Source organism: Homo sapiens, chromosome 10 (genome assembly GCF_000001405.40).
Source record: "Homo sapiens chromosome 10, GRCh38.p14 Primary Assembly".
In the NCBI taxonomy this organism is placed as follows: domain Eukaryota; kingdom Metazoa; phylum Chordata; class Mammalia; order Primates; family Hominidae; genus Homo; species Homo sapiens.
This window is the reverse complement of record NC_000010.11, coordinates 22534652-22547828: the sequence shown is the minus strand read 5'-3', so window position 1 is coordinate 22547828 and position 13177 is coordinate 22534652. Positions and strand designations below refer to the sequence as shown.

Below are 13177 nucleotides of genomic sequence, written 5' to 3'. Positions count from 1 at the left end.
TCTTTTTCTGCACACAAACACACACACAGATCGGTGTATGAGGAGTGACAGGCACTTTTGCCTTCTGCCCTGTGTTTTGTCAATTCTGATCACGGCCCTGAAGAATCAACCCTGGTCTCTCCTCTCATTGACTCACATGATGCAAAACTGTTCTCCCTCTGTGGCATCCAGGAGTACCCCCTCACAGGGCATTTCAGTTGTCTGAGGTTTATAGCCCCCCATCCATGGAGATGGGTGAGAGGGGATAGGGCGGTGGGAGTAGTGGGATGGGTGGCAGCATTTATGGAGCACATCGAGCCCAAGTCCTTCCCATGCAGTGTCACTTGTCATTCTCAAAACAGCCCCTTGACAGTGGTCCTGCCCCTACCCTAGTTTGATGAATGGGGAAGCCGAGCCCAGAGACCCTATGTAATTTGCTCAAAGGCACAAAGCTTCTAAATTCAGACTGGGGCGTCAGGCCCTCAGAGGGCACAGTCCTTAACTACTCTGACATAAACACAAGTTAAAAATACCTGTGAGAGCACAGTGGAGGCTTTGTTTTCTGATAATTGCTTCGAAGGAGGATTATAATTTTTAACAAGTGGTAAGATATAACCGTTAAACAGGGCTGACTGGCATTTTAATTCTACTTCACAGATATGTTGGGAGATGGTGATGTGGTAGAACACGGTGTGTTAGTAGAGTTAAATAAATCAGTTGAGAACCATTGTGAAGGATAGTCTTAGACTCGTAAAGATCTCAAGGAAGATTGTAGCTCAAAGATTTGTCACAGCAAGGACTCAATTAGTAAGGAATTAGATGAGAAGGGATATTCTGAGGGAAAAAGAGGCAGATGTGAGGTCCAGCAGGTGGTTTCTGAGAAGCTGGAAAGGAAGAAAAGCAGGGGACCTAAATAAAGACTGAAAAATCTTCACACTTTGAAATCTTATGTTCTTAAAACTTAAAGAACAAATATATACTGTTTTCCTGCAGTGAGCCGGAAGCAGACCCCGCAGTGAAGCCCACGCCCCCTTTCTGTCTTCTCTTTCCATCTGCGAGCTTCCAGCCCACGAAAAATCTCAGATGTATTGCCACACTTCATTCACTCTACCTCAGAACAGATTTAAAGTAAAGTTTGAGGCCTGTTGTGGTGGCTCATGCCTGTAATCCCAGCACTTTGGGAGGCTGAGGCAGGAGGATTGATTAAGCCCAGGAGTTTGAGAACAGCCTGGGCAACATAGTGAGACCCCATCTCTACAAAGTTTTAAAAATTAGCCAAACGTGGTGGTGCATGCCTGTGGTCCTAGCTACTAGGGAAGCTGAAGCAGGAGGATCCCTTGAGTCCAAGAGTTTGAGGCTTCAGTGAGCCATGATCACACCACTGCACTCCAGCCTGGGTGACAGAGCCAGACCCTGTCTCAAAAAGAAATTTAACGTTTTGAAGATGAGAGCCCGTGAATTAACAGGCTTTTCCATATGGTTCTTTTTCCCCCGGTCTACAAACTGAAACCTGTTTAAATTGAAATCTTGATATTAAAAAAAGACTTCTACCATAATCAAAACATTGCCAGTTACAAATAACAGCTTCCATTATTTTGTGTGAGGCACCATATTTTTTCTCTCAGTTTCATTATCTTAATTCTTCGACACCCCTGTGAGGTGAGTGGCATTGTCCAATTTTAAAGTCAGAATGACTGAAGATCCAGGAGGCGAACTCGTCAAGCATGGAACTGGCGAGTGAGACCAAATCAGACTCTTTGTTTCTTGAATGGGTCTCCCTGGTCAGCATGACCTGTCCTTTTAACCACTGTGCCATATTTGGTTTTTCCCATTTCTACCTCAGTCTCAGAGACTTGAAATCATGAATAATAATCCCAGCAGTTTGGGAGGCCAAGGCAGGAGGATCACTTGAGGCCAGGTGTTTGAGACCAGCCTGGACAACACAGCAAGATCCTGTCTCCACACAAAATAAAAAATAATTAGCTGGGCATGGTGGTGCACCTCTGTAATCCAGCTCCTCGGGAGGGTGAGGCAGGAGGATTGCTTGAGCCCAGGAGTTCAAGGCTACAGTGATCTGTGATCATACCACTGTACTCCAGCCTGGGCAACAGAGCAAGATCCCATCTCTTAAACAAAAAGAAAACATGTGCAATGCCCATTGTGACTGCAATTTTCTCAGTCTTCTTGGGTGCCTCAGAACAGCTTCTTACCTAGAGATGCATTTTGCATCATGCTGATGGTTTTTGGGTTGTGCTAGGAGTTGACTGCACCTTTATTTCTTCCTCACTGGAAGACGACAGTAAGCGGTCTGACCACAGGCCTGAGGCCCAGGAAAATTACTCTGGGCTGCCCGGTGTGGCGAGGAACCCAGATGGGGTGCCAGGGGAGGCTGGGCCCTGGAGGCTCACCCTGGTGAGTGCGGCTGGCCAGTCCCAGTTGTCCCCTTCCCTCTCTGCCCTTTGGCAAGTTAATCACAGACAGCCCTGACTTCTGTAACTAAAACATACTTGAAGGTCAACCAGTAGACCTTCCTGTTAAGGTAATCGTCTTAAATGGTCACCTTGCGCTTCCTTTGCAGAGCTGTTGCCTCATGCAGTCTCAGACAAAAGTTTTCTGTTGTTGCTTTGTTGTTTGTATTTGGCTTTGGTAGTTACTTCCTGCTGGAAGCAGGTTGGGGAGAATTAGGGAGAGTTGGGACGGATAGGGAAGAAGTAACAAGCATCCCATTCACTTGTCCAACAAGTGCCGAATACTTTCCCGAGCCCTCTGCCTGCCGGGATTCGGGAATGCAGTGAAAGCCAAAACCTTAGAGCCCCGTTTGGGGCTGCCTTGCTTGGGAAAGAGAGAAGTCGCTCAAATACTCCAACAAAATGAATGTGCAGCGAGGCCCCGTGTCACTGGGGAGGAGTGTGCGGTGCCCTAAACACCCAGACTCTGGGGCTGTGCTGCCCTGTGCAGTGCCCCGCAGCTGAGACCTGAAGGCACAGGAGGAAGTACCTGCCCCCAGAGAAGCCCAGGAAGTGGGCAGAGCAGAGCTCAAGTGGGCCCCAGAAGTGGATGGGGCCAAGCTCTCCAGGCCTCCTGGGCCATGTGAGTTTTGTTTGTGCCCTGTGAGAAACGCGGCACTATGGAAATGTGTTAAGCAGAACAGGATGGGATCAGGTTCACATTTTGAAAACTTCTGCCCTTTGCAGAGGACTGGAGGGGTGGTTGAGGCACCACTCAGCCTTTACCACTTCACAGGGACCTTCCAAGCACCCAGAGGGAGCAGGTGTGGGCAGAAGGGGGGCCTTTTCCCTGTCACCTCTCAAGCCGAGCAGGGCCTGGCCTGGCTCCAGAGAGGCTTCCAGGTGTAGAGAGAGAGGCCAGGGAAGCCGTAGATCTAGGGAGCAGAGCCAGGCACCGTGCTAGGCTTGGGAGGGGCAGCAGAGGTGGCCAAGGAGACCCTGACCCAGTCCTCCAGCAGCCCAGAGGCCTTGGAACAACAGGGCAGGGAGAAGTGGGCCCACCATAAGCACCCCCACCCCCACCATACCCCTCAAGCATTGGAGAAGACAACTGGGTACTTACAATGCAGTATTTTTCAAATAGGCTTCTGAAACCCCAGGCCCACAGGTCATTCTGACGGGAAAGCAGGTTCCATGATCACAGCAGTGCCATGTGTGCTGCTGCTGGCCACCTAACCCTCCGGAGACCCACAGCGCAGAGTCATGTGTGGAGGGCCTCCGATGCCAGCTGATTTTAACTCGTTACCTTCCTCCTAGGGTTGCGAAGAAAAGGAGAGGGGAAAGCTGCTTTAAGGCAGCCTCCAGAGGTAGCTGATAGAGAGCAGAGAGTACAGGCTCAGAACAGGCCCTGAATTCACCCCTCCTTGGATCTGAATCCTTGCACTCTCGTCCAGCTGCTGAGCCTGGCTGCTGTCTCACACGGAGAGCCTGCCCCCTGCCTTGGATCTTGTCACCTGTCCCTATACCCCGGAGTGCCCAGTTCTCTTCCACATCCACAGGCCCATGTATAGCGGAGCTGGTACCCGAGACCCAGCTCCCTGGCTGGCTTCACCGTGCGGGTGGAGGACTCAAGTGAGCCTTCCACCACTGTAGATTTCTCCCCGCAGCCGCCCCCACAAACATGATCCCAGCCAGGTGATCTCGGCCAGGTGCACCTCACAGCCTGGCAGCTGCCGAGATTCTAGGGGAGGATGCGCAGTCTCTGACTGCTGGAAAGGAATCTGGCAGAGAGAGGTGCAAGTGGAAAGTCAGTTCTCATGTTTACTGTAATGGGGGAGTTTGGGGAAAGACCAGGGGGGATGAGCAGTGGCTTCCCCTCTTCTCTGGGACCCAGAAAGCTGAACGCAGGAGCCCCATGCTGTTTCCACGAGGGGTTTGCCTCTATTTTTAAACAAACAGGTTTCTCCCACTTTGCTTAAATATTTGAGTGTAAGATTTGTGTGATTTCTCTTTTTTGAGCTCAAAACAATTGGGGAAGATATAGCTGGCCCTGGGGGATTCCTGTTGGGAAGGCAGCGAAGTGGGAGCTCTGGCCAGTTTGCTGGGCTGAGCGGGGTGCTGGCTGATGGAGAATTGCAGGCACCAGGAACCAGCTGGAGAGTGGGATAGCCCTGTGCCCAGGGGTCCTCTCCTCGTCTGTAAGGAATCGGGGCTTCTCATTCAGTTTCGAGACAGAACTCCTTCCCAGCAGGCTGAGGAGAAATGACTCTGCGGGGCTTAGCAAATTGATTTCATTTTTAGCCAGAACTTCAAGACCTGTGATTTTATCTGTTTGCCCTTTGCATGAGGACATCTGCTTCCTAAATTCTATCAGCATAGCCCAGAGGCTGCTCAGCCACTCTGCATTCCCCAGCGAGGTGGCACTGAGTCCTTCCAGAGCCAGGACCGTGAACCTTCCTGGACCCTGAGCCCAAGGTCGGAGTGGAACAGGATCCTGTGCAGAGCCAGCCAGCCACGGGGTCAGGGAGCCAGTTGGGTCCAGCCCGCAGATGGGCTGCCACTGTTTGCACTCAGCACAACCATCCACATCTTATGGCAACATTGGAACGTTGTGCTGAAGGTCTCAAATAAGAAAAGGGAAACAAAGAGAAATCGTGATCTGAAAAGTCAAAGAACTGGGCAGACAGGAGTAGCCAAACACACAGAGCTGGGTCTTGCCCCCACATTATGTTCTAGCCACGGCTGGAGGAGGAGAGGGAGGACAGGAATCCTGGATGTGTGGTGCTTCGTGGAAAGCACACGTGGAAAGCACCTTGTTGACCTGGACAGGACTGCATTACTCACCAGATGTGGACACAGTGCCTTTACTTTTACTTATTTACAACAGCGTAACAATCGCCTCCACAGAGCATGCTGAATTCCAGGGTGCTTTCCTGAACTACCACCAGAGACTCCGCTGGAAGCTACTTGGGAGATGCCTGGGTTTCCCCATTAGCCAGTCTTAATCATTGGGAGGAACTTGCTCTCTCTCCCAGTCTCTCTCCGCATCTCTTACTGGTCATGCTCCTTGCTATCTGGTGAAATCCAGCCACCCTGTGATAGATACACACCTCTCCGCATCCAGTGTGGCATTCCAGGGTAAACAGCCTGAGCTCTGAGCCAGCCTGAAGTGTGAGGCTACATTTTAGATAGAGAAACAGCCCAGGAGTGTAAGAGCATCGTGAAGGAGGCACCCGGCGCCTCTGCTGCCCCACCCCACAGCCTTCCCTCTGGGTGTCACCCGAGCTTGTCTCCTTTAAATGTTGGCTTTTATGTTTAAGGTGTGGCTGACTCACCCTGTTGCCTCTGTCCCCAGTTTCTGGCCCAGCTGAAGCTCATGGACTACAGTCTGCTGGTGGGAATTCATGATGTGGAGAGAGCCGAACAGGAGGAAGTGGAGTGTGAGGAGAACGATGGGGAGGAGGAGGGCGAGAGCGATGGCACCCACCCGGTGGGAACCCCCCCAGATAGCCCCGGGAATACACTGAACAGCTCACCACCCCTGGCTCCCGGGGAGTTCGATCCGAACATCGACGTCTATGGAATTAAGTGCCATGAAAGTAAGTTTGATTACTGTGGACCCTTTTTGCATGTGAAGTGGTTTGACTTTGGCCTTGTTATCTACCAGTAAGCACTACCCCAGTTATGAGGGTGCTGCCCGGCAGCACTCATCCTCCAAACTCCAAAGAAATGGATTTGGGGACAAGAGTATGTTAAAGCTAACCGTGATCTCAGTGCTGAAACATAAGGCGATCGGACCTTTGAATTCTGTGATGTTGAGGGAATACAGCAAAACCACGAACTATACTATACATGTACAACACACCTGTACATATGCACATACACACTGGCATACAACGTACGTGCACACACAACACAACATGCATGTACATATGCACACATACATGTTCACAAATAACATCAGAAATGCTTTAAAATATTAATACGTTTTTGCCTAGTTATCTTTTTTATCTAAGTCAAAAGCATCATGAGTCTAAGCTAGGCACATGCATGTGATCCTCTGTGACCCTTAGCTTGTCCTCTTGTCATTACCAACAGCCCTCTCCCTCTCAGGGGTGTGAAGGGTGTGTGAAGATGGGCCCTGTGGGTGGGGTGGGAATCTGATTTGCTGCTGAGTCTGGCTCTGCTGTCCTCCCCCATGGAAGGGCCTATGGCCCTCTTCCCTAGAGTCAGATAAATCTTAATCCACCGTATCCAGGTGATTGGGTGCACCAGTTATTTGAATATTACATCCTACCTTAGCAACTTATCCGTGACAATACCAAAATATTTTTGTGATAGGATAAAAACAGCTTCTTGGTTTTTGAATAATAAAAACTGTGGCTCATCAGTTGTTTTTTAATCTCAAATGGCATATCAGCTGAGGATCTGAGTTCTGTTTTGTTCTGTTTTGCTCACCAAAATGTTTTCTTCAACACAGAAAATTAGATAGTCAAATGTACTTTTCTTACTGTTCATATTTTTGGAAATGGATAGAAAACAGACACGGGCCGGGCGCAGTGGTTCATGCCTGTAATCCCAGCACTTTGGGAGGCCGCGGCAGGCAGATCACCTGAGGTCATGAGTTTGAGACCAGCCTGACCTACATGGAGAAACCCCATCTCTACTAAAAATATGAAATTAGCTGGGCATAGTGATGCATGCCTGTAATCCCGGCTACTCGGCAGGCTGAGGCAGGAGTCACTTGAACTCGGGAGGTGGAGGTTGCTGTGAGCCAAGATCGCACCATTGCACTCCAGCCTGGGCAACAAGAACAAAACTCTGTCTCAAAAAAAGAAAATAGACATTGGAGTGGATGTATGCCTTTATCCAGTTCTGATACTGTATCCAGTGAGAATTATGAACAGTTCTACCATTTGATGTAAAGGATTAGTGTACATAATTAGTTCTGTTTTATAGGGTATTTTTAAATAGCATATTTCTTCACACCAAAGCAATACACAATTATTAAAGAAAATGCAAATTAAAAAAAAAAAAAGACTCCGTTCCACCGTTGGATCTCCACTGTTGATACCCTGGTGTGATGATGTTTTTAGTTGTTAGGGTTGTTTCTTTTTAAATTGCAGGGGGACTGGGTCAGAGAGGCAAGCTGTGTGTTTAGTCAGGATCCGCAGGGGTGGTGTAGAGTTTGTCTCTGGACTCCTTCCATCCGCGTTCCATTGAATCCCCTCCCTCCAGGCTCACTTCTCCCTCCCTCCCTCCCTCAGCAGCAATGCTGGCACTGGTGTTGTCACATGTCCCACAGTCATTGCTCTCCTGTCTCTGCAGACTCGCCTAGGAAGGAGGTGTACTTCATGGCAATTATTGACATCCTTACTCATTATGATGCAAAAAAGAAAGCTGCCCATGCTGCAAAAACTGTTAAACATGGCGTGAGTATCTCCATTTTGTTTCCTTCTCTCTTTCTCTCCCTCTCTCTCTCTCTCTCTCCCTCTCTCTCTCTCTCTCTCTCTCTCCTGGCTCCTCTGTGTGACCTGTAACTCAGGGATCACTCCTTTCTGCCACTGAGCTGCTTTCTACTGAGCCATTCAAAGCCCTTTAGTGACGCTTGTTCCCTGGGGGCAAGTCATGTTCTGAGCGTAAGATACAGAACCCACAAACGCTTACTGCTCACTGCTGCTCTTACCACAGCTCCCTGTGGCTTCCAGCGAAGTCACTTAAACATGAACATCTCTTCTTTTTACACATGGCGGACACTAACAGGCATGCGCATCACTAGGATGTTACACAAATTCTTTTTTGTTTGAAAAATGTTCCAGAGATAAAAGTGCAAAAGAAGATAATGAAGTGTTCTAATATGAAATATTCAAAACTGAAGCATGATTGTCTGCTTAAGACACTTCCCAAGTATACAGGATTAATATTTCTTTTCTCACAGTGAGTTGTATTTTTTCTACTACAGAAATCTCTTGAGTGCAAAATCAAAGTTGCATAATATTACTCACCGTTAATGTTGCTTGATGGGAGTTTTCACTGCTCTAGCCATATGTTAAGCTATTTTATCCCCCATGAGAAGCCTATGAAAGAGATAGTAGTGTACCTGCTTTTGTCAGTTGGAGAAACTGAGGAAAATAGCTTCAGGAGTAACTTGCCAGGGCCTCATAGTAGCAAGTGGCAGAGATGAGATTCCTCCCCCGGACCCAGCCCCCTCCTGGCTCTGTGTTCATGCTCATCCCCTTGCCCTGCCTGCAAACACCTCCTGCCTGGCTGAACTTTACAGCTCGCCAAGTTTCAGGCTTGTATTGCAGGGTGCCATCTTTGTTTTGCAGAGGTCCTGAAAGCCATAGAGCCCACCCCACACAGATGAATGTATTCCCTGGTTTGTTGGCCCTGGAAGAAGAGGTGCTTCCCACAGACTGTGTAGAACTAATGAAGATTCACCAGAACCAAAAACTCACTTGAAACCTCTTCTTTTCTATTTTAAAATAGAAATCAGCCTAACAAACACAGTATTCTATTTGCCAAAGAAATATTTCAGTCACATTGTCGATAGCTATGGTATTCCTGCTGTGTGCAGAGCACAGACTGGGACCTCACCGCCCCCGAGCACGTCAGTAAGCAAGTGTGCCTGGTGGCTTCCCCCCAACAGAAATTTTTGAGTACTCTTTTTAAACAAACATCCGCACCAGGTGCACCACCCCCATTCCGTCATTTCTGAGGCCAGTTCAGGAGGGTGAGGGAGGGGTCTTCAGAAGACTCCATGGTCATTCTGATGCTCACCTCTGGTTGAAAACCATGGAGTGTGGCAAAGAGAGAACTGGCGAGGAATCCTCGTTTGACCCTTCCCACTTGTATGACCTCAAGGGGACACTTTTGGAGCTCCTGTTTTTTCACCTCATACAGAAATCCTACTGCCTTGCTGATGGGGTTTTGCCAGAGATACAAGAGTTGTCTGGACAAATGCTTTGTAAATGTCTGTTCCCATATTATACATCCTGTGAAATTGGAGTGTATCCTAGCCAATATGGCTCCATGTTCATCTCTCCTATCCTAGCCAATATGGCTCCATGTTCATCTCCCCATAAGCCACAAGTTCGCCTCCATAGTGTGCCACACGGCATAAAATCACAGGTAGTTTGCAAGAAGAAAACATTACTGTCAGCAAAGGAACGCTGTGTTAAGCTGCTGTGGGGGACCATTCTCTCTGCATTCAAGCCTGGGCTCCTCCATGCAGCCGAGGCCTGGAAATATTACAAGTTCCCCGGTGAACATGGGTGTCTAAAAACAGCACATGCTCACTTAGCAAAACTCCGTGCTTGCCCTTTGCAGCTCAGGAAACTGGCCAGTGAGTGACTCCCTTGAGTGTGCTGGCCTGCACCCTGCATCTCATCATGGAAAAATCCCTCACCGTGCTTCTGCAGGGGGCCAGGCTTGCTTGCTCTCTGCAGGGCTCAGAAAGGGGAACAGTGGCACCCCTGTGTGCTGCTGCAGAGGGAAGTCAGCTCCTTCCCCCGTGGGCAAGATGGAGCCAGCAGTGTTGTGCCTCACCTGGTTACGGTGCAGGGAATGGGCTGGGGGCAGCTGTCCCAGAACCTGTGGCTGCTGCTGTTGCCCCTCATGTTTGAGCACTGAGCTGGGGGCCTCTGTCCAGAAACGAAGGGGTCCTGAAGAAATCATGCGGTTTTAAGTCATCGTCATTAAGGTTTCCCTTTCGCCAAATGTTGATGTCATTCTCAAGGTGGCTCCAGTCTGCCTTCTTGAAAAGTATAACATAAGTATTGTTTCCGTGACTTCTGAACAATTCCACTCTTTGATAGTAACATCCCAAACGTGGCCTGTTTGATTTTTTTGTGAGTTGCAACAGCCCCGGTGTGTGTGGTAGCATCTGGTGCTCCTGTCGCCCTTTGTCTCATTTGCAGACACAGATTTGTAAGAACCTTGCTTATTCAACCATGAGCGCCAAGATATTTTGAGTGATGTTTTTCAGAGCAGAGACTGCATGGATTTGAAAATTGCTTGCTGTATATTCAGTTGCCATTGGAAATAGCTGTAGATATTGAGTAATAATTTGGGGAAATCATAAACACTATGTCAATATTTCCTTTTTTAAAAACTGCCCAGGCTGGCGCGGAGATCTCCACCGTGAACCCAGAACAGTATTCAAAGCGCTTTTTGGACTTTATTGGCCACATCTTGACGTAACCTCCTGCGCAGCCTCGGACAGACATGAACATTGGATGGACAGAGGTGGCTTCGGTGTAGGAAAAATGAAAACCAAACTCAGTGAAGTACTCATCTTGCAGGAAGCAAACCTCCTTGTTTACATCTTCAGGCCAAGATGACTGATTTGGGGGCTACTCGCTTTACAGCTACCTGATTTTCCCAGCATCGTTCTAGCTATTTCTGACTTTGTGTATATGTGTGTGTGTGTGTGTTGGGGGGGGGTGAGTGTGTGCGCGCGTGTGCATTTTAAAAGTCATAAATTAATTAAAACAGATCCACTTCGGTCAGTATGTGTCCCAACAAAGACCCTTTGATTCCAGCTATGGCCGAATGAATGAGTGAGTGAGTGAGTGAGTGAATGAACACACGTGTGGGGGAGGGGAGAAGGAAGTGCATGATGTCAGGCACCGTGTTGGCATCACACAACAAACTGTGGATCAGTTTTTTTTTTTTTTTTTTTTTTTTGGAGTTGAAAGATGTGAGACAGTATTCAGAATAATGAAGATAATAATGATGATTATTATAATAATGATGATGATTCCAAGGAAAAAACCTACAGCGAATGTTCCATTTCTACCCCGCACGCAGACACTCTCCCTAACACTGATAACCTGAGCCCCCAGCACTGGACGGAAGAATGCTGGCGTCTCCGTGTGTACTGGTTCAGGGTTCTGGCCCCAGCCTTGTCAGGACCCCCTGGTGTCCAGAGCCCCCACCCCTCCCGCAACAAGCAGCTGATGCCCCAGTGATTCTCTATACATTTTTCACCTCGGCCAATATGTCCAGGAAAACTGCTTACTTCTCTTTTCTTGCCTGGAGCCTTCATTGTTCACCCTTACGTTGCAATATAGGAATTAATGCTACAAAATAAAAGTAAAGCTTACCTGAAAAGTGCATAGTTTGGGGCAATGGTATCTACATCTCCCACTGTGGGAAAACCAGCAAAGCATCAAAACTCTCAATTCTCCTGTTACCAAATGCAGATCTGAATTATAAGATGTTTATGTTTGACCATTGTTTCAACAATGGGATTTTGTTACGAATTATCCCTTTAACTGAAACCCTCAGTTTTACTGTTTACATTATTAGGAAAACAGGGATATCTTTTGAATCTAAAAATTTGATGTACAGCATGTGATTTTTGAAGTTTACATGTAAAGTCACAGTATAGGTGAAATAACGTTTGTCATATTTTGAGACGTATCCTGCAGCCATGTTTTTACGTGAGTGTTTTAGTCAAAGTACATGGTAGACAGTCTTTCACAATAAAAGGAAAAGGATTTTTTTTTCCTCCAAATGTACATTTATCAACCTAATGATTGATTTTTTTAAAAAGAGATTTCGCCCCAGTCTGGTTTATGAAAGTTCATTGCCCTAAACTGTGCTGATTGTTTTTAATCAAGTTATAAATTTCCAACCTAGATCATGTATCTACCAACTCTCCTGCATTTTCCAAAAGGCATTGAGCTTAAATATTAGTCTTGCTTAGAGTAGGTTATCCACTTACATGCTGCGCTAAAGCCATGCCTTTGAAACTCCTTGTTTAAAACATGATATGATTTTTGTGGGCAGTTTCAGAAAAGAAAACAAACAAACAAAAATCGACCCTTTAATTATTACTTGCAACTCAACAGATCTCCCTGCCGTACTGCCTTTTCCAGGAACTTTACTTCAGGGCTGTCCAGATTGCAGCTGTGCCCCGTGTATGTGGATCTAGTTCACAGAGTCTTTGGAAGCCAGCAGTCGTGCCCTCCGTATACTGTCCACTCATTTTATGTAGATTTGGTATCCTCAGCAGCCAGTGTTAACACCACTGTCACGTAGTGTACAGATTCATCTTTTATGTATTTAAAGTAATCCATACTATGATTTGGTTTTTCCCTGCACCATTAATTCTGGCATCAGATCAGTTTTTGTGTTGTGAAGTTCTACTGTGGTTTGACCCAAGACCACAACCATGAGACCCTGAAGTAAAGATAAGGTACACATACATTATTTGAGTAACTGTTTCCTTGGGGGCCAATCTGTGTATGCTTTTAGAAGTTTACAGAATGCTTTTATTTTTGTCTATAACAAACAGTCTGTCATTTATTTCTGTTGATAAACCATTTGGACAGAGTGAGGACGTTTGCCCTGTTATCTCCTAGTGCTAACAATACACTCCAGTCATGAGCCGGGCTTTACAAATAAAGCACTTTTGATGACTCACAAGATGAATCCTTTTTTCCTCTGTCCCAATTGTGTGTCTCTGTTCCAAACACATTTTAAATACTCGGTCCTGACAGTGTCTTTAGCTAATCCTTGAAGAAATGAAAGTGGAATTGAATCTTTTTAGTTTCTAGAGCCTTGCCTTCAGTTTGGGAATTATTTTATCAGTAATAACAAACTTCCACAACACAATTGACTTTGCCGCAAGATGAACAAGTAGAGGAAAAGAATCTCTTCCATGAACATCCTATAAAGTCATATGTTTTGTTTTTAGCTTTGATACACCTTAATTCTATGTGTATCACCATTTTTTGAAACTT

At 47.0% G+C, this 13177-nt stretch overlaps 1 protein-coding gene across 6 annotated transcripts in view, besides 1 other annotated feature; it reads left to right on the top strand.

Annotated features, from left to right (window-relative positions):
• PIP4K2A (phosphatidylinositol-5-phosphate 4-kinase type 2 alpha) overlaps positions 1-12975 on the top strand; it is a 179725-nt gene extending 166750 nt beyond the window's left edge. For all 6 annotated transcript variants that reach the window (XM_006717450.3, NM_005028.5, NM_001330062.2 and 3 more), the window contains 3 exons: positions 5782-6025; positions 7755-7858; positions 10548-12975. In XM_006717450.3, the coding sequence (XP_006717513.1) occupies positions 5782-6025; positions 7755-7858; positions 10548-10628 (429 nt within the window). In that variant the 3' untranslated portion in view covers positions 10629-12975. The remainder of the gene's footprint in view (positions 1-5781; positions 6026-7754; positions 7859-10547) is intronic.
• Positions 3716-4347: an enhancer, noted in NCBI's record as "H3K27ac hESC enhancer chr10:22832411-22833042 (GRCh37/hg19 assembly coordinates)". NCBI's record gives its function as "activates a minimal SCP1, AML or CMV promoter by ChIP-STARR-seq in primed H9 embryonic stem cells {active_cell/tissue: H9 hESC(primed)}" and the evidence as "EXISTENCE:reporter gene assay evidence [ECO:0000049][PMID:30033119]".
• Positions 12976-13177: the final 202 nt, after the last annotated feature.